Below are 26,725 nucleotides of genomic sequence, written 5' to 3'. Positions count from 1 at the left end.
GAGTTGAAAATTCCTGATTAAGGAAGACAATTCCCTGGTTTTATCTTTTGTACTAATTATTTTACAAGGCCTCAGCAATTTTGTCTCCAGTGTGGGTTGGCTGATTAATCCTATCCACATCCCCTTTCTCCCACTGTGGGCAGCCATGAGACACAATTTTGGCCAGAGGAAAATTTCAAGAGAAAGTCTTGCAATTCCCAGGCAACTTTCCAGGAAAGCTTTAACTCTCTTAATAAAAAGGCTCAGACTCATGGGTATGCCACCTGCCCACATTCTCTGCTCCTTTGCCCTTCTGTCTCTTTTCAGTATGGGGTACAAACCCAGAGGTATACCAGCCATCAAATGAGCATAAGGCAACAAAAATATAAGTGCAAATGCCATCATTCTAACAATGGTGAGACAGAGACCCAGAAAGAGCCTAGCTAGAAAGAGCAAGAAAGAGCCTTGACAGTGTCATTATGCAGAGGCACCAACTCTGGACTGTTTACCTTTAGGTTTTTTCTAGTTAAGGGAAAAAAAAAAGACTTTGTTTAAGCCACTGATGGCCAGGTTTTCTATTATTTGTTGCTAACAGATGCTGACACTCAAAGGAGATTCCAGCAGGGCTAATATACTTTGCCCGCCTTTTAAGACTGTTATAAGGGTGAGAAGCATGATAGCTACTTAATAGTCTTTGTCTGTTTCAGAAACCAAATTGCTGATTCTGCCTTTTCCTTTCTCACCAGTATTTTGTTTCTTATTCTCCTTAGCTTGGTCTGAATTTGTATTCTAATCAGACTCTTGCCAGTCACTCTCCTAATTGAATTGAGTTTTTGTTGTAGTTCAGCCAGCTCAGAATTTTTTTTAATGGTTTTCCTAAACCATTCCAGCCCAAGGCAGTGGCTCCCCTCTTTGACCTAAGAGCACTTACTGTCCACACCTTCCAATTGCCAATTCATCATCCACTGCCCCCTGACGCTTCTCATACAGCTGTCATAGAATAATCAATGTTTAGAGCTGCAACGGGCTTTAGAGATCATCTTCTCCAGCCACCTCAGTGCCTGTGAATTGTGACTTAACTCTTGGATTTTTCATTACCTTTTCATAGGTTTATAGCTTATCTTCCCAACTAGAGCTCAAAAAGTGAAAAAAGAGATAAGAAATAAGTTTTGTTCAGTTACTTACTGCATGCCAGACACCTTACACACATGACTGAATTTTCACAACAATTCTGGAAGTGGGTATTAGTCCCCACTTGACAGGTGAAATAACTAAAGCTCAGAGAAGGCTGGGCACAGTGGCTTATGCCTGTAATCCCAGCATTTTGGGAGGCTGAGGTGGGCGGATGGCTTGAGCTCAGGAGTTCGAGACCAGCCTTGGCAACATGGTGAAACTCTGTCTCTACCAAAAATACAAAAAATTAGCCAGGTGTGGTGGGCATGCCTGCGGTCCCAGCTACTTGGTGGGGAGGCTGAGGTGGGAGGATCACTTGAGCCTGGGAGGTAGAGGTTGCAGCGAGCCAAGATCACTCCACTGCACTCCAGTCTGGGTGACACAGTGAGACTCCATCTCAAAAAAGGAAAAAGCTCAGAGAAGTTGTTACTTAGTAAAGGTAAAGTACCTAGAAAAAAGGGAAGCCCAGATTCTGACTCAGGTCTTAACATAGTTAAGCGTCTTTAACCTCCTCCCAGGCTGCTAAATTAGTTGCTTGGATTTACTTTTTGGAGTTCTTCAACATTTAAACTTCAAGAAATTCTACATTCTGTTCATAGGCCTTCTCTTTTGTAAGAGGTTTAAAATATATTGAATCACTAAATAAAATCATGGTTCTTTGTTTCTAATGTCATTATTTTTATTTTATATATATATATATATATATTTTTTTTTTTTTTTGGGGGGGACAGAGTCTTGCTCTGTCACTCAGGCTGGAGTGCAGTGGCCTGATCTCAGCTCATTGCAACTTCTGCCTCCCGGGTTCAAGCGATTCTTCTGCTCAGCCTCCTGAGTAGCTGGGACTACAGGCACACACCACCACGACCGGCTAATTTTTGTATTTTTCGTAGAGCCGGGGTTTCACCATATTAGCCAGGCTGGTCTCGACCTCCTGACCTCGTGATCTGCCCTCCTAGGCCTCCCAAAGTGCTGGGATTACAGGCATGAGCCACCGCGCCCAGCCAAGATTTTTTAAATTCAGTACTGATAGAACAAAAATATTATACTGATTTTAGTGGAAAAGTGATGAGATATCTGTCATGTTAAATGTTAGTGAAAATGCATATATCATTAACACAAGGTGGTTTTCTTTGTATCTGAATTACAAAAGATACAAGTGTTTTATAGACAATAACTTTGTAAGCTATTATATTTAATATAATTTGCATCGCTGGGAGAAAACAATACAAAGAAATATTCAGAGAAATTGAATTTAGTCATTCCAAACTTCAAAGAAAGTTTTTATTCTATCCAGTAAGCCAATTACATCTTTATTATTTTTCATATGGAACAGTCCACATTTTAATCTGAGCCTAGAAGATTTTTAATTTGGAATTGAAGCCTTTCAGTTGTATTACATTTTTGCAGAACTTCCTTAATGCCAGATAGACAATTAAAATGCAAGATAGTTTTCCTTTAATGTTGTTCTTATTGTTTAGGAATAAGAAAAATATTAAGGTAATTGGCTTTTGACTTCATAATTTTTCCCCTAAATTCTTACTAGATTTCTTTCACATTCTTACAGGTAATATATTTTCAACGATAATTTTTTTTTTAGAAATCGTGTTCTCTTAAACCAATACAATCCTATAGCGATCATTCATCTCTGCTATATCACATTTTATTTTTGAAGTATATAAATGATGTCTTCATTTTTAAAGGTATAATTTTACATTTCTGCCTTCTAAAGATAGTTTGGTCATAATTTTAGATGCATCCTTTTAATTAATGTATGTGTCGTTTTTAGGAGCACACCTTTCCCTATATAATCTGAGTTTATTTATAACTTTCTGATTATATACTGCTTATATCTGTGGGCTCAAGACACAGAAGTGAATACTAATTTTTTTAACAAAAAAAAATCCAATAGGTTATGGTGATTGTTTGTACATGCTTAAAATGTTAACTAAAAGTAAATAAATAATCTAATAAACATATCTTATAGGCTCCTGTGTATCATGAGGCCACATAGGTCTTTAGTCAGGTAAATTGTAATAATACCTATTAACCATAAGCCCCAGAGGACAAGGACATACCTTGTACATCTTTCAATCTGTAGGGTCTAGTAGAATGTAATAAACATTTGAAAAATAAATGAACGAACAAATGAATGAACAAATGTATTTTCTTTAAGGTCAGTCAGGTGACTCACACTTCTTTAATTTTCTCCAGACTGCTGGCACAATGTTTTGTCCAAAGTAGAAATTTACTGATTGGTATGAGTATTAAAAGAAGGAAAGGAAAAAGGTTCCTTTGTGTCTAAAGGAAAGACATTGCTCTTTCTCCCCAGGAGAGCTATTGTCTTAGGTACTATGAAATATGCATTTTCCAGCCAGCTTGTTACAGGTACTATGGTGTGTCAAGATCTAAGGCAAACTAGATGTGCCCTATGCACTAGCCATTCCACCCTTGATCCCTACCTTTTCCCTGAACCTATAATACTCTGTTAAAGAATTACTTTATTAAAATTTCTCTGCTAAAATTACAATTTTTAAAAGATAAAATGATGTAATACTTTGATAAGTAGGAGAAAAAAATGAAGAAACCTAATTAGTATGGGCTCTGTTTATATTTTCTCTTCTCCCACTTTATATATGAAGGAACTTATAATTTATCAGGGAGGTTTCAAATTTGGTGCACCATGCATCAAATCCAATCCATGGGAATTTTTTAAGCCTAACAGTTCGCTTTTTAAAAGTTTAGTTAATCATTCTATCACATAATGTTCTTAGTTAAAGCAAGAGAAACTGATTCTGGCTTATTTAGCTGAAGGAATTCATAAATATGCTTTTGGTAGCCCCCATAATCCTAAGAAGGGTTGAACAACAAGACTCAGGGGCTTGCAGCCAGGAATAGCACCCAAAATCACACAGCAGAGCCAAGTCATCCAGTCAAGGCCACGCAGACATCACCCTTGCAGGATACATGCTACAGACTGCATGCACCACGGGCACCATCTACTGCTGCTAGCACAACATCCCTTGCTCCACTGGGGCCACTATATGGCCACTGTATGGCGCCCCGTCCTTGCTTCTTTGCATATTAGCTCAGAAGTTCAAGGCATGCAGATCTAGTCAGCAGGGCCTAGATCATATGAGCAGTTGAAGGAGAATGGGCAATAACTAGAGATGAAGAAAGAGTTGAGCCAGTGCTTTCTGCTGGCCTCTCCCTTTCTTGCTAATTTTTAAATAATGTCCTCCTACTCCCCCACCGTTGCTTTTCGAAGTTTAGAATCCCCAAACAATCTTAGTAATTTGCACATTCATTGCCAAAATTAACACAGTTGGAAGCACTAGGTTAAGACATCTAATAGCCGGCTGTTCTTCGTAAATATTTATCAGACCATTTTTAGACAGTGGTAATGGGTCCAATTAATATTTATGAATGTAAAATAGAAATCCCTAAATGGTTATGATGGCATTCTTCTGGTATTTCTTTAAAATTCATCATTAGCTCCTGAATAGAGTCTGCCGAGTGCCTTGTGAAACCAATTAAAATCTTAATACCTATTTGGGGTGATTTTCTTTCCCTATTTCTTGGTACATCAGCTGCACTGTCAACTATGGCCCCCCTCCAATAAACTATAATCCACCCAACAGAGTGAGCAATCAAACAGCCCAGTGAAAATTTACTTGAATTCCACAAATTTTGGGGTAAACTCATTAATTTTCTCAGAAAGCTTCCAAGAGGGTAAGTGGCAGCCCAGAATAAGATACTTATTTGTGAATTGCTTGGCATGTAGTCACAAGCCTTAATTTCACATACAAGGAAATGCTTTTAGCTGCAAGAATTTTTATTTCTACTCAGGATACAACAAACCCATCCTCTAAAATTCTAGCAATTAATTTATTGCTGAAATTTAGAGATTTTTTAAATGAAAGCCATCATTGGCAGTAAAGATTATAGACAATAAATGTTTACACATGGTAAATTCCAACAGACTACATCTGTCAGATTTAGACTCAATTGATAGTTATTGAACATAGACTATGTGTCAGGCACTGTTCTTTACAAGTTTACAAACATCTCAACTGTCCTATAAACTTATGAGGTAGATTCAATCCCATTTTACTGATGAAAGAAGCAAAGCTCAAAGTCTATGGGACTTAAAAGAGATTACAAAGCTAGCAGGTGGTAAAGCCAGGGTTTGAGCCTGTGTCCTGATCCAAATCAGCTCTCTGCCTCAGCAGAGTGACCCCGGATGCAGAAGAGTTTCATCATGAAAGAGTAGTTAAGGTAGGCTAAGCTTTAGGCAGAAATGTGTAACTTCTAGCATTATTATGCAGGCTCAGATATTATGAATTAATCCATTGTTAGGCCCGAAGTGTTGAGATTCCACTGAGACACTACAACTTGGCATCCAATCATTCAAAACTGGGTTGAAAGGCAGGACATGTCCAAAGCAAATAAGCATTTCACCTGATGAAAGGATGCCTTAAAGTGATGAAAGATGGCTAGATATAAATCTCTTCATATCTCAATGCATAGATTTAGAAGGTAAAAACAAACACAACAAAACAGCATACAAAATAATGATATAGAATTGTCTTTTTATGCTAAATGACTATGTAATTGGACAGTCAATGACTGGGGAAGATATTTTGCACAACCTTTTTTTGTTCTTCTTCTAACTCATGATTCTCATACATATTTGTTGCCAAAATGAGTAAATCTAGGCCTGCAGATTAGGTCTTAGAGCTGGTCCAAGGGTGCATTACCATGACTCCCAGGGCCATCTGGGGAATAGATGCTTGCTTTAACTTCACAGCATGGTATTGAGGGTCATATCTGGCCCAAGCTGCTTTAGCTTGGAGAGGTTGAGAGTAAAGACTAAGAAGTTTATTTAGGCATACAAGTACTCTGTTACCTATTCCTGCACGTGTACTGTATATCATGTATACTCTGCAATGAATTAGATACACCTGGCTAGGGCGCAGTCTTTAGCATCATGCATGTAAGACTAGGTCTGAAGGGGCAGTTGACCTTCAAAAGGTCTAATGTGAGCATCACTTGCTCAAACTTACTATCCTCAGTTGTGTATCTGCTGATGTGGCCCATCGGAGGGATTCTCGAGTGTAAGCACTTCTGTCTGTTAATAAAGATTAAGAGCTGATCTCTTTGCTACATATCCTAACTGCTCTGACTTCGTGCTGCACATTCAGATATGTAAACCTTGTTTGATTTACCCAAGTAATGTCTTTGGCTGTTCAGTCAATTTGAACCAATTTTTTATATTTGTCAAAATGTTATATGTGCTGAGTCAAATATCTACCATAATTCTATGACCTTTGATTGCTGATTAAAGACTCCTTTCAAAGGAGATAGGTAGATTTATTGACAAGCTGATGTCCAGCAATGGTTCTCATCCTTGACCAAAATGTAAGGCTAACCCTGAAGAAAGGCTTTCTTTCTTACACATCCATCTAACATGATTACTGTTTTAGACATTTCCACATATCCTTAAACTAAATTCTGCCAAGTAACTCACATAGGATGGAATGTCTAGGGCAAAACAGGCATAAAATATATGAAATGTGAAATATGCTGTAGCAGAAAGCTTCTAGAAGAGGAGATCTTTGTGTGGTAACAGTGGCTAATGTCCTTTTGTATGTAATATTTTGGTGTGCTCTATATGAAGGGAGAAATCCTTCAGAAGTAAATTGTTACTAACTTGAAAACCTAGGTCTAGATCTAGGGGAATTAATAATCTCGGGAAAATATTTTTATCTGCAATATATAATGTTAAATTCACTCCTACTCAGCAGAAACCTACTCCTTCCCTTCTACTGAGTTTATGGGTGATGGGTTCCTCACTCCATTTCTACCGTTCGTTTAACCATTTAACCATAACTTTTACTAAGAAGCACTCCTTTCCTCGCCATTTTATTAGCTTGCAGCTGTTTTCTCTCTGTGGCTTCAGGCCGAAAGAAAAAAAAATGAAGACATTATGTCTTTGAAAACTTTTTAAAAAGCTATTTCATTCTTATCATTAATTTCGTATGTGGAAAATGTAGAATTGTATTAGATACATTATTTTCTGATGTAATTTAGATGCATGAAAAGTTTAGCTATTTTTGGATTCATTTTTTCTTTTATTTTCTTTTTATCTGTCATTAATTCTGTACTGAAATTTTTAAGATTAATGAAGATATTTGGTAAGATTTTTCTTTCAACCATTTTCTGGTTTGTATAGCCCACCAATACTGCTGTTTTGTGTTAGAAAAGACTGAGTCACGAAAGGAATAAAATTTTTTGTACTGGGTCTCACGGTGAAATAATGGTACCCCGTTACTTAACCTACTGGTTTTTACTCTTCTACTCCTTCAGATGTAATTAAATTAGCTTACTTGCTTAAAAAGTAACATTCCAAGCTAAAAGCTTGGAATTGTCATTTAGGTCAGTTTTATTTTATTTTATTATTATTTGTTGAGATGGAGTCTCGCTCTGTCACCCAGGCTGGAGTGCAGCGACGCGATCTTGCCTCACTGCAAGCTCCGCCTCCCGGGTTCACGCCATTCTCCTGCCTCAGCCTCCCGAGTACCTGGGACTACAGGCACCCACCATCATGCCCGGCTAATTTTTTGTATTTTTAGTAGAGACGGGGTTTCACCGTGTTAGCCAGGATGGTCTCGATCTCCTGACCTCGTGATTCGCCTGCCTCGGCCTCCCAAAGTGCTGGGATTACAGGCATGAGCCACCGTGCCCGGCCTAGGTCAGTTTTATTTTTTTAAATTTAAGCAGTGGTGCTTTAAGTGTTTTAAAGTGAACCATTGAAATGTAACAACCACAGAAAAGTGCACGGATCTTAAATTTTACAGTTTAATAAATTTTCACAAACTAGAAATACTTGTAACTACCAAAATAAGAAAATGAACATAACCAGGACACTGGATGCCCCCTTGGACTCTGACCCCAAGAGGAGCTGCTATCCTGACTTTCATACTATAGATTACTTTTGCCTATTTTGAACTTTATATAAATACAAACATACATCATGTATATCTTTGGGTCTGACTTATTTCACTCAACATTATGTTTATGATACTCATCCATATTGGTACATGTAACAATAGTTTGTTCATTCTTGTTTTGGGTAGATCATACTTTATTCTATTATTGATGAACTTCTGGGTTGCTTGCATTTCAAGGCTATTACAAATAGTGCTGCTATGAACATTCTTGTACACATTGTTGGTGAATATATTTGTATGTTTCTGTTGGATATATATCTAGGAATTGAATTGTCAGGTCATATGGCCTCACTTAGTATGGGCTATCTTTTCATTTTGGTAGGTTGAATGGTGTGTGAGAGTTGGCTCATACTGGCCCTAAGGAACCAATGCTTACATTTTCAGGAATTCTGTGAGCTGGTTGTTAAACACATTATTAAAAATTAAATTATATAAATTTAAATAAGTTATATTATATATTATATGTTACTATATATAATATAGAGATACACAAAATATATATACAATATATTTGTTAAATAATATATAATACAACTTATTTATATTATATATTATATATTACAAAGGTAATAAGTATCTGAAATTCATCGCCTCCACGCTATATTTGTCTATTATCTGTGCTCTTAAGGTTACTTACATCAACCATGTCTGTGTTGTGGAAATGCCACACCACGGTGTGCTGTTCTGCATCCCTCCAGCAATGTCACGTGGCTAACTTGACAATGGCCGCAATGGAGTATTTACACCACAGAAACTATGAAATGCTACTAATTTCAAGGCTTAATTTATTATTTTGTTGATTTATGCAGACTTAAGAAAGTGATACAGAAAATGTTAATAATGCAGATTAAACTCTAAAGTGCCATGTTTGTAGTTGATATGTTGTGGCTAGCATAAATAAAAATTTGTAAAAGCATGGTTGAATTGCAACTTTAGATACAGACACAAGGGTTCAGCAAAAATCAACAAAAACATCTTTAAGAATCAACTGGCAGTCCGGGTACTGTGGCTCATGCCTATAATCCCAACAGTTTGGGATGTCAAGGCAGGAAGATCACTTGAGTCCAGGAGTTCAAGATCAGCCTGGGCAACATGGTGAGACCCCCAGTGCTGGGCACAGTGCTTCGTACTTGTGGTCCCAGTTTCTGGGAAGGCTGAGGCGGGAGGACTGCTTGAGTCCAGGAGGTTGAGGCTGCATTGAGCCATGGTGGTGCCACTGCACTCCAGCCTATGCGACAGAGCAAGACTCTGTCTCAAAACAAAACAAAACAAAACAAAACAAAACAAAAAAAGAAGAAGAAGAATTAACTGGCTACTGGCTATATGGAATTTACCATAAAGGGTATTGTATGTTTTATTATTATTTGTAAATTTGTGCTACATGCATACACACCTTTCTTTCCCCTCTGGAAAGCCCCATTGTTAAACATTTACCAGCACACCTCTATTTGTAGTGGTCACATTGTGATATGAATTTACTTTTCTTAGTCAAAGAAGCTGAACACATTTTCATCAGTGTATTGGTCACTAGAATGTCTTTTTTTGTGAAGTCCCTATTAAGTCTTTTGCCCATTTATCTACTGTTTTATTCTTACTGATTTGTAGGAATTCTTCACATACTCGTCATAAGAGTCCTTAATTGAATATATGTATTGCTAATATCTTCCCCTAGTGAATGAGTTGCCTTTTCACTGTCTTAACAGTGTTTTCTATGTAAAGCAGCTATCAATTTTCATTTAGTCCAATGTGGCAATCTTTTCCTTTATGGTTAGTGCTTTTTGTGCCCTGTTTGAGAAATAGTTGCCATCCCCTAGCTGTTCATGTTTTCTTCCAGAAGCTTTGCTGTTTCACCTTTCACAGTTAGATCTACGATCAACCTGGAGTTGATTTTTGTATATGGTGTGATGCAGAAGCTAAGATTCCTTTCTTGTCCATATAGGTATCCAATTGCCCCAGAACAATTTATTGAAAAGGCCATGCTTTTACTATTGTACTTCAGTACTATTTGTACTTTTGTCATAACAAAGGGGCTGTCTATGTGTGAATCTTATAGGATATTTTAAATAAGTGAAGCAATGAACTTTAGCATTTTACAGATATCTTGCCACTCCAATCATCTTAATAATTTATCCAAAAGAGATTTTACATCAGATGATTAGGAAATAACTTGTCTCCTCTCCTACCAGTAATGTTTATTGATTTCCACTATGAACAAGATGCTGGGGTAGCCTCTAAGGCTACAGAGTAATCTCTTTTTCAAGAACTCTACAGAGAAATCTCTTTTTCAAGAACATTAACCCTGAAAGTCATAAAATAAGCATTTCGCTCATCCTTTTTTAGGTATTTATTTTGACATTAGTTATGTTGATGACTTTGCAAAATATTTTCTTTCATAATATTAAAGCAATTTTTCGTAACATTAAAGCAGATTCTGATAACACATTCAGATTATATATTGAACATGCCAATATTTACTTGTATAAGCTTACCAGAAAGAGTAGATTGAATAACTAATATCTTTTTTGAACAGAGAAAATAGAATTTGGTTACCATGATAATTTGGTTGTTGTTGTTTATAGGATAATGCATCTTGGAAGCAATCAAAGTAAACAAAATCCCTTCAAAAAGAACATATGAACTATGAGGAAATTAATTTCTTAACTCTGTTATTGATCCTATTATTCATAAAAAAGCAAAAGTCCCATATAACAATTGAATATGTAGAGCATTTTATAAAATTGAGGGATACTAGATTTTCTGTGCTGTCAGTTTGATTGTAGAGAAGGACCTACTAACCTTCCACTAGAGGGTATCTTTAGCCCATTTAGTCTTTTGTAAAAATAACAATGTTTTGCTTAATATTATTTTACCTTTTAACTATACCTGACCCTAAGGAGAAAGTCAAGGAACAGTCTTGATGTTAACAGAACTCTTAAGAAACACACACACACACACACACACACACACACACACACACAATCTTTTTCATTAACAGTTACAGTAGTAATAACTGTTACTACTATTAAATTCTCTTTGGAACGAATCAACACTCTTCCTTCTCCACTCTTTTCCACAAAAAAAGAGAGTCTTTTTTAATTTGGGCAGCAAGAATATAATTAACACTAAAATATTTATTATTGCTCTATAAAAATATACCCTAAGCATTACAGCAATGGGAAAAAAATCACAAAGGAAAGGATGGACAGATTTGACTCAATATAAACATCAAATACTTGAATGTAAAGTAAAAGTACAAAGAAAATTTAAATGTAAATAAGCTAGCAAAATCATTGTCCCAAATATAAGAACACTTCATACAGATATAAAACTGTAAGCTCTGATAAAAGTAGGCACAATATGAACAGATAACTTATTTATTTATTTATTTATTTTTGTTTGAGACTGAGTCCCAATCTGTGGTGCCCAGGCTGGAGTTGCAGTGGCGTAATCTCAGCTCACTGCAACCTCCACCTCCCGAGTTCAAGTGATTCTCCTGTCTCAGCCACCTGAGTAGCTGGGATTACAGGTGCAGGCTACCACGCCTGGCTAATTTTTGTATTTTTATTAGAGACAGGGTTTCACCATGTTGGCCAGGCTGGTCTCAAACTCCCGACCTCAGGAGATCCACCCGCCTTGGCCTCCCAAAGTGCTGGCATTACAGGCGTGAGCCATTGCGCCCAGCCTGAACAGATAATTTAATGAAAACAGGTAATAAATGAACAAACCTTATTAGTAATCTAGGAAACATTCGGGAGGCCAAGGCAGGTAGATAGCTGAGTCCAGGAGCTCAAGACTGGCCTGGGCAACATGGCGAAATTTTGTCTCTGCAAAAAAATACAAAAATTAGACAAGGTGTTATGGCACCTACGTTTCCAGCTTGGGAGGCTCAGCTGGGGAAGTCACTTGAGCCTGGGAGGCGGAAGTTGCAGTGAGCCGAGATTGAGCTACTGCACTCCAGCCTGGGCGACAGAGGGAGACTCTGTCTCAAATAATAATAATAATAATAATCATCATCATCATCTAGGAAACAAAAATTATTATATACTTTTCTACCTGAAAAGTTAGGAAAAAGGTAATGTTAGTGAGCATGGAAAGAGAAGTGCGTTCTTATGCACTGCAGGTAGGAGAATAAATCAGTACATTTCCAGGAAGCAGTTTGGTGATACATATAAAGAATCTCCAAAACTATACTGTGACCAAAAAAAAAAAAAAATTATAATCCTAAGAATCTATCCTTAAAACATTATTAGGACTTAGAACTCAGATGTTGGATTCTGACACCATTCCCTAGTAAAGAGCCTTTCTTCAAAGGCTCTTGGACGAAATGGGTGGGCCAGAAAAGGTACAAGGTGAGCCTGAAGCAACTTATTAGGTCAAAGAGTAAGGAACTGCTCAAAATGATAGGGCATGACACGAGAACACAGGAGCCAGCTTGAAGGGGCTCCCATTCATCAAATATAGGACAATTTGAGCACCAACCATTGGGAAAAAACAAACAAACAAACAAAAAAACCTAGTAATTTCATTAGTCCATGCTAATAACATGTAGATAAATATGTAAAGAAAGAAGAGGTCTTGCTTATGCAAGAATGCCAAGTGCTGAATTGTAAATGTGAAAAGAGTAATTGAACTGGAAAATCTTCATTTTTTTTCTGCCAACACAGTAAATATTGATTCATTTGGGCAAAAATTATCAATAGATGCTAAATCTAGAGATAAATTTTTGATGAGGAGCAGGATATTTGGATGACCTTATGATATCTTCCCATAGATTGCTTATTAGGAATAAGAGAAAAAAACTACTATCATTTGAACAACTCAGACAATACCTTGACCAGCAGATCAAAATTGACATCACAAATAAGGGGCATTTGACACACAGATTATATGCTTCTAGGTGTGACTCCCTGAGGACAACATCACTAATGTGCTATTCTGGCCAGAATGCATACTCTGAAACTAATCATGAGGAAGTATCAGACAAACTCAAAATAAGGAACATTCTAGTTTTTTTTTTAAAAAAGGGATTGTTTTTTCAAAAATGGCAATGTCATAAAAGACAATGAAATGCTGGCCGGGCACAGTGACTCACACCTGTAATCCCAGCACTTTGAGAGGCCAAGGTGGGCGGATCGCTTGAGCTCAGGAGTTGGAGACCAGCCTGGGTGACATGGTGAAGCCCCATCTCTACAAAAAATACAAAAAAAAATTAGCTGGGAGTGGTGGCACATGTCTGCTGTCCCAGCTACTCAGGAGGCTGAGGTCTGAGGATGACTTGAGCCAAGGAGACAGGGGTTGCAGTGAGCTGAGTTTGCACCACTGCACTCTGGCCTGGGTGACAAAGCCAGACCCTGTCTCAAAAAAAAAAAAAAAAAAAAAAAAATTCCCTGTCAATCTATGAACCCAGAAATTCTGAGACAGATCTCAGTTAATTTAGAAAGTTTATTTTGCCAAAGTTGAGGATGTGCCCGTGACACAGCCTCAGGAAGTCCTGACAACATGTGCCCAAGGTGCTCAGTCACAGCTTAGTTTTATACATTTTAAGGAGACACGAGACATCAAACAACATATGTAAGAAGTACACTGTTTCGGTCTGGAAAGGCGGGACAACTTGAAGCAAAGCTAGGAAGACTTGAAGCAGAGAGGAGGCTTACAGGTCACAAATAGGTGAGGCACAAATGGTTGCATTCTTTTGAGTTTCTGATTCGCCTTTCCGAAGGAGGCAATCAGATATGCATCTGTGTCAGTGAGCAGAGGGGTGACTTTGAGTAGAATGGGAGGCAGGTTGGCCCTAAGCAGTTCCCAGCTTGACTTTTCCCTTTAGCTTAGTGATTTGGGGGCTCCAAGATTTATTTTCCTTTCACACATCCATCCGTTCATCCTATATAGAAAAAAAAATTTTTTTAAATACAAAAAAAGACAAGGAAATGTTCCATATTAAAGGAGAATAAAGAGACCTGGCAACAAAATATAATACCTAATCCTAGACTGGATCCTGTGCTAGACACGGGAAAAATGCTATAAAATACATTATGGGGTCAATTGACAAAATTGGAATATGGATGGTAGATTAAGAAAAAGTATTATATTAATGTTAAGTCTACTAAAGTTGATAACTGAACTATGGGCATATAAGTGATACACCCCTATTCTTAGAAAATAGACAAGTTTTAGGGGTAAATGTGGTAGGAAAAAATGGTTCAGAAAAATATGTATATTCTCTCTTTGTATATCTAACTATATCTATCTCTATCTCTACATACATAAAGAGATGAAGGGATTAAAACTCGCCAGTATAAAAATTACTTTAAATGGAAAACATATGAGTTGCAGTAGATGCAGAAAAAAAGCTTCTCTGAACTTCCCTTAGCTCACTAAAGCAGAGCCTCCCAAAAATACAACTTCCATTTAACTTCCTGTGAGGGCTTGCTCTTTGGAAGATGACTGACTCTTTGGGGAGGTGCAAATTCAGCTGCCATAAATCTCCCTCTAGGGGAGTTTCCAACCAGGAAGGAGACTGTCCATTCGTATCAGGATGAAAAAAACCTAATAGAACTTTCGATACTTTCCTACTGAAGCCCTACATCCCCACTTTTCCTTAAGTAAACAGATACATAGGCTCTTACTCCTAGCTGTTCACCAAGGTGCTCCCTACTGTGTACTTCCATCCATGTGAACAAACCTTGTCTTTTATCTTAGTCAGTTGATTCGCATGCCCCCAACCACTCCAAGTTAAGCCCTAAGTGTGTTGGGGTGGGGAGATGACTACATTTCTCCTTGTCTTCTCTGACTCCAAATTTTTGCTTCTGATGAATCATTTACATGTAAAGATGTCTGGCTGTTGATGCGGTCTCTCTTCTCCAGAGCATGGTCTCACATAGGTCACATCTCCTTCTTGACTTCCTCCTAAAGTATAAAATAAGTAATTTGCATGTTTTGGGAAAATAAAATTCCTACCAACAAAGAGAGACTTCTTCACATTAATGTAGAAAGAAGGAAACAGATTTATTACTGAATGAGCACAATAGAGTACATGTGTACTAGCTGCCTGTGAGTCACTATGAAGTCAGGTTGAATTTTTTTTTTTTTTAGAGAGAGGGTCTTGCTCTATTTCCCAGGCAGGAGTGTAGTGGCATGATCATAGCTCATTGTAACCTCAAACTCCTGGACTCAAGTGATATTCCTGCCTCAGCCACCCAAGTGTCTAGGACTACAGGTGCACTCCACCGTGCCTAACTTTTTTTTTTTTTTTTTTTTTTTTTTAGAGACGAGGTCTCTCTATGTTGCCCAGCTCTTGAACTCCTGACCTCAAAAGTCATGCTCGGCCTCCCAAAGCACTCATGATGAAATTTCACACAATTAATTCTGTAAAGCAGAAGAAAAAATAATACAATGTCTCTTACCTTCTTGGGAGACAACTAGTTATATCTCAAGATAGGCTTTTAGGTTAAGTCCAGGGGTGTGTGTTGACATTTCAAGGGGTGGTGAGGCCTAGACTTTGGAGACTTCTCTGCATAGTGAAACAAGAAATGCGGGTTCTCTAGCCACTGGGGAGATTTATCCATGTTCAAAGAGTTACAGTAAAAACTCGGGTCCATTCTATTTCCAGGAGACCCTTTGAGAAGAGAAGGGGGTGACAGACCTCTTACCCTTTATAAGCCTCAGGTGCAGCAGCAGTTTTTCTGACTTTTGGGATGATGTGTATGAAGGCCAGGATACATGGTGGCATCACATGGCAAACAACTGAAAGTTGAACTTCAAATATCCTTGTTATTAAAGTCCTTTCGGCCAGGCGCGGAGGCTCATGCCTGTAATCCTGGCACTTTGGGAGGCCAAGGCAGGAGGATCACAAGGTCAGGAGATCAAGACCATCCTGGCTAACATGGAGAAACCCTGTCTCTACTAAAAAAAATACAAAAAAAATTAGCCAGGCCTGGTGGCGGGTACCTGTAGTCCCAGCTACGGGGGAGGCTGAGGCAGAAGAATGGCATGAACTCAGGAGGCGGAGCTTGCAGTGAGCCCAGATTGCGCCACTGCACTCCAGCCTGGGCGACAGAGCGAGACTCTGTCTCAAAAAAAAAAAAAAAAAAAAAAAGATAAAGTCCTTTGGCCACCCTAATGACTGGAATTTCCCACTGGGCACCTCTCTCCCAGGAGGCTCTGGCCTCCTGCCATGGTTTCTTACTCCCTTCATGACTTCACGCTCCGTGCTTCTCCCCTTTGGACACTTTTCTCCCCTAGACCGCCAACAAACTAAATTTTCCTCATCTTATGATGCAGAACAAGTAAGTTTTCCATCCACTACAAGGCTCTGGAGCATCAGAGACATTTCCACTCCCCAGAAGCTTAAATGCTGGCCTTCTACAATGATAGGCTTTGGCTCCAGAGTCCAGACTATCTGCAGATAAAAATGGGCAGAGGCTTTGAAATTTCAGTTTTTTTCCCCATCAGTCTTTGAGGGGAAGGAAGAGAGAAGTGGAGACATATTGCTAATATGAATTATGACATCCTTCCCCTCCACACCCTCCTTAGAAAACGAATGACTACACTCAGCTTGGGGCTTAACTTATTATTTTTCTCTGATGTTTTGAAATTTCTTTTTCCTAAGATATCTATTTTTATTCACATTTTATCTAAAAATTGAACTACAATCATTGCTCGGCCTTTTGGCTAAGATCAAGCATAGTGAAAATTGAAATGCATCTTACATTTACCATCAAATGAAGAAATACCACTTTTACAGAAGAAATTAGCAAAGGCTTTTGGTTTTGAATGACCAGATGAGTGAAAAATATGTTGTTATTAATAGTAGCTAGCTGAGTAGCAAGTTGTCATTGATAACCACATTGCATCACCCGGGAAGCGCAAGGGGTCAGGGAATTCCCTTTCACAGCCAAGCAAAGCTGTGACAGATGGTACCTGGAAAATCAGGTCACTCCCACCCTCATACTGCGCTTTTCCAATGGTCTTAGCAAATGGCACACCAGGAGATTATATCCTGCACCTGGCTTGGAGGGTCCCACGCCCACGGAGCCTTGCTCATTGCTAGCACAGCAGTCTGAGATCGAACTGCAAGGTGGCAGCAAGGCTGGGGGAGGGGCGCCCGCCACTGCTGAGGCTTGAGTAGGTAAACAAAGCAAAGCGGCCGGGAAGCTCGAACTGGGTGGAGCCAACCGCAGCTCAAGGAGGCCTGCCTGCCTCTGTAGACTCCACCTCTGGGGGCAGGGCATAGCCGAGCAAAAGGCAGCAGAAACCTCTGCAGACTTAAATGTCCCTGTCTGACAGCTTTGAAGAGAGTAGTGGTTCTCCCAGCATGGAGTTTGAGATCTGAGAACAGACAGACTGCCTCCTCAAGTGGGTCCCTGACCCCCAAGTAGCCTAGCTGGGAGGCACCCCCCAGTAGGGTCAGACTGACACCTCACACAGCCAGGTACCCCTCTGAGATGAAACCTCCAGAGGAACGATCAGACAGCAACATTTGCTGTTCAGCAATATTCCCTGTTCTGCAGCCTCTGCTGCTGATACCCAGGCAAACAGGGTCTGGAGCAGACCTCCAGCAAACTCCAACAGACCTGCAGCTGAGGGTCCTGACTGTTAAAAGGAAAACTAACAAACAGAAAGGACATCCACACCAAAACCCCATCTGTATGTCAGTATCATTAAAGACCAAAGGTAGATAAAACCACAAACGTGGGGAAAAAACAGAACAGAAAAACTGAAAATTATAAAAATCAGAGCACCTCTCCTCCTCCAAAGGAACACAGCTCCTCACCAGCAATGGAACAAAGCTGGACAGAGAATGACTTTGACGAGTTGAGAGAAGGCTTCAGACGATCAAACTTCTCCGAGCTAAAGGAGAAAGTTCGAACCCATTGCAAAGAAGTTAAAAACCTTGAAAAAAGATTAGACTAATTGCTAACTAGAATAACCAATGCAGAGAAGTCCTTAAAGGACCTGATGGAGCTGAAAACCATGGCACGAGAAATACGTGACAAATGCACAAGCTTCAGTAGCCGATTCGATCAACTGGAAGAAAGGGCATCAGTGAATGAAGATCAATTGAATGAAATGAAGCAAGAAGAGAAGTTTAGGGAAAAAAGAATAAAAAGAAATGAACAAAGCCTCCAAGAAATATGGGACTATGTGAAAAGACCAAATCTACATCTGATTGGTGTACCTGAAAGTGATGGGGAGAATGCAACCAAGTTGGAAAACACTCTGCAGGATATTATCCAGGAGAACTTCCCCAACCTAGCAAGGCAGACCAACATTCAAATGCAGGAAATACAGAGAATGCCACAAAGATATTACTCAAGAAGAGCAACTCCAAGACACATAATTGTTAGATTCACCAAAGTTGAAATGAAGGAAAAAATGTTAAGGGTAGCCAGAGAGAAAGGTCGGGCTACCCACAAAGGGAAGCCCATCAGACTAACAGCTGATCTCTCGGCAGAAACTCTACAAGCCAGAAGAGAGGGGAGGCCAATATTCAACATTCTTACAGAGAAGAATTTTCAACCCAGAATTTCATATCCAACCAAACTAAGCTTCATAAATGAAGGAGAAATAAAATCCTTTACAGACAAGCAAATGCTGAGAGACTTTGTCATCACCAGGCCTGCCCTAAAAGAGCTCCTGAAGGAAGCACTAAACATGGAAAGGAACAACTGGTACCAGCCACTGCAAAAACATACCAAATTGTAAAGACCATCAATGCTAGGAAGAAACTGCATCAACTAACAAGCAAAATAACCAGCTAACATCATAATGACAGGATCAAATCCACACATAACAATATTAACCTTAAATGTAAATGGGCTAAATGCTGCAATTAAAAGACACAGACTGGCAAATTGGATAAAGAGTCAAGACCCATCAGTGTGCTGTATTCAGGAAACCCATCTCACATGCAGAGATACACATAGGCTCAAAATAAAGGGATGGAGGAAGATCTACCAAGCAAACGGAAAACAAAAAAAAGGCAGGGGTTGCAATCCTAGTCTCTGATAAAACAGGCGTTAAACCAACAAAGATCAAAAGAGACAAAGAAGGCCATTACATAATGGTAAAGGGATCAATTCAACAAGAAGACCTAACTATCCTAAATATATATGCACCCAATACAGGAGCATCCAGATTCGTAAAGCAAGTCCTTAGAGACCTACAAAGAGACTTAGACTCCCACACAATAATAATGGGAGACTTTAACACCCCACTGTCAACATTAGACAGATCAATGAGACAGAAAGTTAAAAAGGATATCCAGGAATTGAAATCAGCTCTGCACCAAGCACACCTAACAGACATCTACAGAATTCTCCACCCCAAATCAACAGAATATACATTCTTCTCAGCACCACACCGCACCTATTCCAAAATTGACCACATAGTTGGAAGTAAAGCACTCCTCAGCAAATGTAAAAGAACAGAAATTATAACAAACTGTCTCTCAGACCACAGTGCAATCAAACTAGAACTCAGGATTAAGAAACTCACTCAAAACCACTCAACTATATGGAAACTGAACAACCTGCTCCTGAATGACTACTGGGTACATAACGAAATGAAGGCAGAAATAAAGATGTTCTTTGAAACCAATGAGAACAAAGACACAACATACCAGAATCTCTGGGACACATTTAAAGCAGTGTGTAGAGGGAAATTTATGCACTAAATGCCCACAAGAGAAAGCAAGAAAGATCTAAAATTGACACCCTAACATCACAAGTAAAAGAACTAGAGAAGCAAGAGCAAACACATTCAAAAGCTAGCAGAAGGCAAGAAATAACTAAGATCAGAGCAGAACTGAAGGAGATAGAGACACAAAAAACCCTTCAAAAAAATCAATGAATCCAGGAGCTGGTTTTTTGAAAAGATCAACAAAATTGATAGACTGCTAGCAAGACTAATAAGGAAGAAAAGAGAGAAGAATCAAATTGACGCAATAAAAAATGATAAAGGGGATATCACCACCGATCCCACAGAAATACAAACTATCATCAGAGAATACTATAAACACCTCTACGCAAATAAACTAGAAAATCTAGAAGAAATGGATAAATTCCTGGACACATACACCCTCCCAAGACTAAACCAGGAAGAAGTTGAATCTCTGAATAGACCAATAACAGGCTCTGAAATTGAGGCAATAATTAATACCTTACCAACAAAAAAAGTCCAGGACCAGATGGATTCACAGCCGAATTCTACCAGAGGTACAACGAGGAGCTGGTACCATTCCTTCTGAAACTATTCCAATCAATACAAAAAGAGGGAATCCTTCCTAACTCATTTTATGAGGCCGGCATCATCCTGATACCAAAGCCTGGCAGAGACACAACAAAAAAAGAGAATTTTAAACCAATATCCCTGATGAACATCGATGCAAAAATCCTCAATAAAATACTGGCAAACCAAATCCAGCAGCACATCAAAAAGCTTATCCACCATGATCAAGGGGGCTTCATCCCTGGGATGCAAGGCTGGTTCAACATACGAAAATCAATAAATGTAGTCCAGCATGTAAACAGAACCAAACACAAAAACCACATGATTATCTCAATAGATGCAGAAAAGGCTTTCGACAAAATTCAACGGCCCTTCATGCTAAAAACTCTCAATAAATTAAGTATTGATGGGACGTATCTCAAAATAATAAGAGCTACTTATGACAAACCCACAGCCAATATCATACTGAATAGGCAAAAACTGGAAGCATTCCCTTTGAAAACTGGCACAAGACAGGGATGCCCTCTCTCACCACTCCTATTCAACATAGTGTTGGAAGTTCTGGCCAGGACAATCAGGCAGGAGAAAGAAATAAAGGGTATTCAATTATGAAAAGAGGAAGTCAAATTGTCCTTGCTTGCAGATGACATGATTGTATATCTAGAAAACCCCATTGTCTCAGCCCAAAATCTCCTTAAGCTCATAAGCAACTTCAGAAAAGTCTCAGTATACAAAATCAATGTGCAAAAATCACAAGCATTCTTATACACCAATAACAGACAAACAGAGAGCCAAATCGTGAGTAAACTCCCATTCACAATTGCTTCAAAGAGAATAAAATACCTAGGAATCCAACTTACAAGGGATGTGAAGGACCTCTTCAAGAAGAACTACAAACCACTGCTCAATGAAATAAAAGAGGACACAAACAAATGGAAGAACATTGCATGCTCATGAATAGGAAGAATCAATATCGTGAAACTGGCCATACTGCCCAAGGTAATTTATAGATTCAATGCCATCCCCATCAAGCTACCAGTGACTTTCTTCACAGAATTGGAAAAAACTATTTTAAAGTTCATATGGAACCAAAAAAGGGCCTGCATTGCCAAGTCAATCCTAAGCCAAAAGAACAAAGCTGGAGGCATCACGCTACCTGACTTCAAGCTATACTACAAGGCTACAGTAACCAAAACAGCATGGTACTGGTACCAAAACAGAGATATAGACCAATGGAACAGAACAGAGCCCTCAGAAATAATACCACACATCTACAACCATCTGATCTTTGACAAACCTGACAAAAAGAAGAAATGGGGAAAGGATTCCCTATTTAACAAATGTTGCTGGGAAAACTGGCTAGCCATATGTAGAAAGCTGAAACTGGATCCCTTATACCTTATACAAAAATTAATTCAAGAGGGATTAAAGACTTACATGTTAGACCTAAAACCATAAAAACCCTAGAAGAAAACCTAGGCAATACCATTCAGGACATAGGCATGGGCAAGGACTTCATGTCTAAAACACCAAAAGCAGTGGCAACAAAGACTAAAATTGACAAATGAGATCTAATTAAACTAAAGAGCTTCTGCACAGCAAAAGAAACTACCATCAGAGTGAAAAGGCAACCTACAGAATGGGAAAAAATTTTTGCAATCTACTTATCTGACAAAGGGCTAATATCCAGAATCTACAAAGAACTCAAACAAATTTACAAGAAAAAAAGAAACAATCCCATCTGAAAGCGGGCGAAGGATATGAACAGACACTTCTCAAAAGAAGACATTTACGCAGCCAACAGACAGATGAAAAAATGCTCATCATCACTGGCCATCAGAGAAATGCAAATGAAAACCAAAATGAGGTATCATCTCACACCAGTTAGAATGGTGATCTTTAAAAAGTCAGGAAACAACAGGTACTGGAGAGGATGTGGAGAAATAGGAACACTTTTACACTGTTGGTGGGACTGTAAACTAGTACAACCATTGTGGAAGTCAGTGTGGCGATTCCTCAAGGATCTAGAACTAGAAATACCATTTGACCCAGCCATCCCATTACTGGGTATATACTCAAAGGAATATAAATCATGCTGCTATAAAGACACATGCACACGTATGTTTATTGCAGCACTATTCACAATAGCAAAGACTTGGAACCAAGCCAAATGTCCAACAATGATAGACTGGATTAAGCAAATGTGGCACATATACACCATGGAATACTATGCAGCCATAAAAAATGATGAGTTCATGTCCTTTGTAGGGACATGGATGAAGCTAGAAACCATCATTGTCAGCAAACTATCGCAAGGACAAAAAAACCAAACACTGCACGTTCTCACTCATAGGTGGGAATTGAACAATGAGAACACTTGGACACAGGAAGGGGAACATCACACACCAGGGCCTATTGTGGGATGGGGGGAGGGGGGAGGGATAGCACTGGGAGATATACCTAATGTAAATAATGAGTTAATGGGTGCAGCACACCAACATGGCACATGTATACCTATGTAACAAACCTGCACGTTGTGCACATGTACCCTAGAACTTAAAGTATAATTTTAAAAAATGTATATTAAAAAAAAGATATCATGATCAGGAGCCATGTCTGTACATCACCATGTCTCCATGACAATCTTCAAGGGAAATCTTCATATTCAGAATGTGAAGAAGTTCTGGACTTAGATTTCAATTGCAATACTGAAGAGAAGAGTTAATTATGTAGCTTGCACTATATTAGTTTGCTAGGGCTGCCATAACATGATACCATAGACTGGATGGCTTAAACAACTAAAATTTATTTTTCCAGAATTCTGGAGTCTAGAGGTCCAAGATCAAGGTTTCAACAAATGTAGTTTTTCCTGACACCACTCTTCTGTCACTTTCAGATGACCACCTTCTTGCTGTTCTTCACATAGTCTTTCCTTCTTCTAAGGACATCAGTCATATTCGATTAGGACTCACCCTAACGACTTCATGTTAACTTAGTAACCTCTCTAAATGTTCTGTCTCTAAATACAGTCGCATTCTGAGGTACTAGAAATTAGGGCTTCAACATTTGAACTTGGGAGTGAAGGGAAACAGTTCAGCCCATAACCTGCATGAATTGGAAGTTAATTGGAAAGAACTGCATACATGTAATAAACTATCTTCTTCACCCCAAAAAGCTATAATTAAACCCTAACCTCACTGTATCTACCAATTGCAAATTATTATGTCCTGACCTTGCCAAACTTAATGAAGTCTTCACCCTATCCCCAAAAGTCCCCAACCCTCTCCTTCAGTCACCACACCCTGCAGTGAAAGGCTCACAATACCCTAAAGAAAATCTCATAAAATATCCTGCCTTTTCCCTCCCCACTCTGAAACACTGCTTAAGACTTTTCAATGTAGTATTACCCTTTATCATTTAAAGCAATAAACTCAGTTTCATTTTATCAACAGGTTATTTTGGTTGTATTTTCCAGAAGCCAGCGCTCAACATTTAGAAGAGTCCTAAGAAGTTGCCCAGTTCTATTATCAGTCAGATGCTTGAGTCCCTCATACATTACCCTAGCAAGTGATATTCTGGTTTCTACCTGAATACTTCTAGGGCCTGGGATTTCACTGTCTTCCAAGACATTGTTCTTTAGGCAGTGACATCTTTGGAGTAGTCCAGGTGTTTCACAGAAGGTAATAATATGGTGATAATAAATATCATTCAAGTGAGTGAAAGGATGGATGGTACATTTCAGGTTTGAGTGTCCCTCCTACCAGGAAACTAAGAAAACCATGATTGACAATTTTATGTTCATCTTTCAAACTATTTTCTTTTTCTATGTTTTATTTCTTATTTACTACCTCTTTGTAAAAAAATTGTGATTTTTTTGGCTTATGATTAATATATTCTCTATGTAGAATGTTTGGAAATTCCTAAATAAAAACAAATCTTTGGAATCTGAAAATAAACATTTAGATAAGAAATACGAAATATGTTTTACAAAATATGTTTAACTTTACTTTCAAATCTTTAAGGTTATTTTCACTGAATTTCTGAATTTTTTGTTACATTCTTTCTTAACTCACTTTGAATTAGTGAAAACACATTTTCACTGACATCAATTCAAAAAAATAATAAAACTAGAATGTGAAGAAAGAGAAGAAAAATAAGATAAATAGCTCCCCCAATCCTACTAATAACAAAAAATACAAATTTCTGACACACTAACAAGGAGAAACATAGCATTGCTGATTATCTCTTTGATATAGAAATTAGACACATTTGTCAAAAGTTTTTGTCAATAATCCAGTTGAAAATAAGGTTAAAAATCTTTCTGAGGTTCTAGTTATGAATGAAAACTACTTAAAATTTTAATAAGTTCAAGGAGGGAGAAGTAAAAAAAATAATGTCTTAATAAGACATTATTAAGTAATCAGTATATAGAGGAAAGGTGTGTATGCATGGTATTTGGAAATGTTTGGAAAATACCAAGCAGATATATTACTTGGATTATGGTATATATTATTGTTTCCATTTTGTTCTTACATGGGAAAACCATTGACCAAAGATTAGCAGGGATAATAGAAATTCCAGTCAAATTATGCAGATCTGCAGAGCTCATGATCTTATGATGTAAGTAATTTGATAATTTACAAATATTAATTTGTACCCATTCTACCCGGAAAGTCTCCAGCAAATTTCAACTTTCTTTCTATCCGTACTTGACAGTGGCTTACACCTGAGCTTTATCATCTTTTGTTGGATTATTTTTTATTTTTGTAAACAAATTTTATTTTAGCGACCAGGTGTAGTGGCTCATACCTGTAATCCCAATGCTCTGGGAGGACTAGGAAGGAGGATCACTTGAGGCCAGGAGTTCAAAACCAGCCTGGGCAACATGAGACACCACCTCTAAAAAAAAATTTTAATTAGCTGGGCATGATAATTCACACCTGTAGTCCTAATCCTAGTCCTAGGTGGGAGGATTGCTCAAGCCCAGGAGTTTGGAGGCTGGAGTGAGCAGTTATTGCGCCACTGCACGCCAGCCTGGACCACAGAGCCAGACCCTGTCTCTAAAAACAAAATTTATTTCTCACAGTGGGAAAAAAAATAAAAATAAAATTTAAAAATAAAAAAATTAGTTTAATCAATGTAAGATGTGGATACCATTTAAAAAATCAAATAATATGTCATGTTGCTAATAAGCTGTATTGCCAAATACTATTTTTAACTAGACATTATCTGTCAATGGAGGATAAGATTATCACTCTCTTACATCTCCCTCCTGCATACTTTTTCTCACCCCTCCCTTTAATATAGTTATGATAGCACAATTTCTAATTAAATGAAAATTCGGTTACTACTATGATAGTGTAAATACTGTTCACTACAGGGCCAAGTACGTTTCTATGATTATGTTTCTTTTTTTGAATAGCCTTTTTTCTCCTGTAGTGAATAACTGTTTCGTTTTCCTTTTATTTTTTGTTTTTTATGAATCTATTGTTAATGTTTTCTAAATGCTCCATCATATGTGTCAAATACCTATTGCTATTATTTTCCAAATGGTCATACAAAGCAGATAATTTACCAATTCCATCTCCCTTCACCCCTCTCCTCATCCCCGAGGCCTACATATCCTTATTCTGATCTGGGCTGGCTGCTTTCCAGCCTGCTGCATAACTGTCACTCTGGGATCCCTTTGTCATCATCCTCAGACTTTCTAAAACCATGTTTTGTGTTAGATTACAGCAGCATCATAAAAAATAAATAGTTAGTCTTTGTCCCTGGTTCCTGGCACAGAACTTCTAAACCCCTTGTAATTTCCTGAGTGATAGGCATGTCTTTTTTTTTTTTTTTTTTAATTTTACTTCAAGTTCCGGGATACATGTGCAGAACATGCAGGTTTGTTACATAGGTATGCGTGTGCCATGATGGGTTGCTGCACCTATTGACCAGTCCTCTAAGTTCCTTCTCCTCGCCCCCCAGCCCCCAACAGGCCCTGGTGTGTGTTGTTCCCCTCCCTGTGTCCATGTATTCTCATTGTTCAACTCCCACTTATGAGTGAGAACATGTGGTGTTTGGTTTTCTGTTCCTGTGTTAGTTCGCTGAGGATGATGGCTTCCAGCTTCATCCATGTTCCTGCAAAGGACATGATCTCATTTCTTTTTATGGCCGACTAGTATTCCATGGTGTACATGTACCACATTTTCTTTATCCAGTCTGTCATTGATGGACATTTGGGTTGGTTCCATGACTTTGCTATTGTAAATAGTGCTGCAATAAACATATGTGTGCATATGTCTTTATAGGTGGAAATATTCCCTTTGAAAACCAGTACAAGAAAAAGA

At 38.4% G+C, this 26,725-nt stretch overlaps 1 long non-coding RNA gene across 1 annotated transcript in view; it reads right to left on the bottom strand.

Moving 5' to 3' along the window:
• Positions 1 to 10,491: 10,491 nt before the first annotated feature.
• Positions 10,492 to 26,725, bottom strand: part of LOC124906300 (uncharacterized) — a 55,680-nt gene continuing 39,446 nt past the window's right edge. The window contains exons 2-3 of the long non-coding RNA XR_007096148.1: positions 14,845 to 15,068; positions 10,492 to 14,043 (exon numbers count right to left, since the gene is read on the bottom strand). This is a non-coding gene — a long non-coding RNA (uncharacterized LOC124906300). The remainder of the gene's footprint in view (positions 14,044 to 14,844; positions 15,069 to 26,725) is intronic.

This window comes from Homo sapiens, chromosome 3, assembly GCF_000001405.40.
Source record: "Homo sapiens chromosome 3, GRCh38.p14 Primary Assembly".
Lineage (NCBI taxonomy): Eukaryota > Metazoa > Chordata > Mammalia > Primates > Hominidae > Homo > Homo sapiens.
The sequence above is the reverse complement of the archived record's forward strand: the minus strand, read 5'-3'. Positions and strand labels throughout refer to the sequence as shown.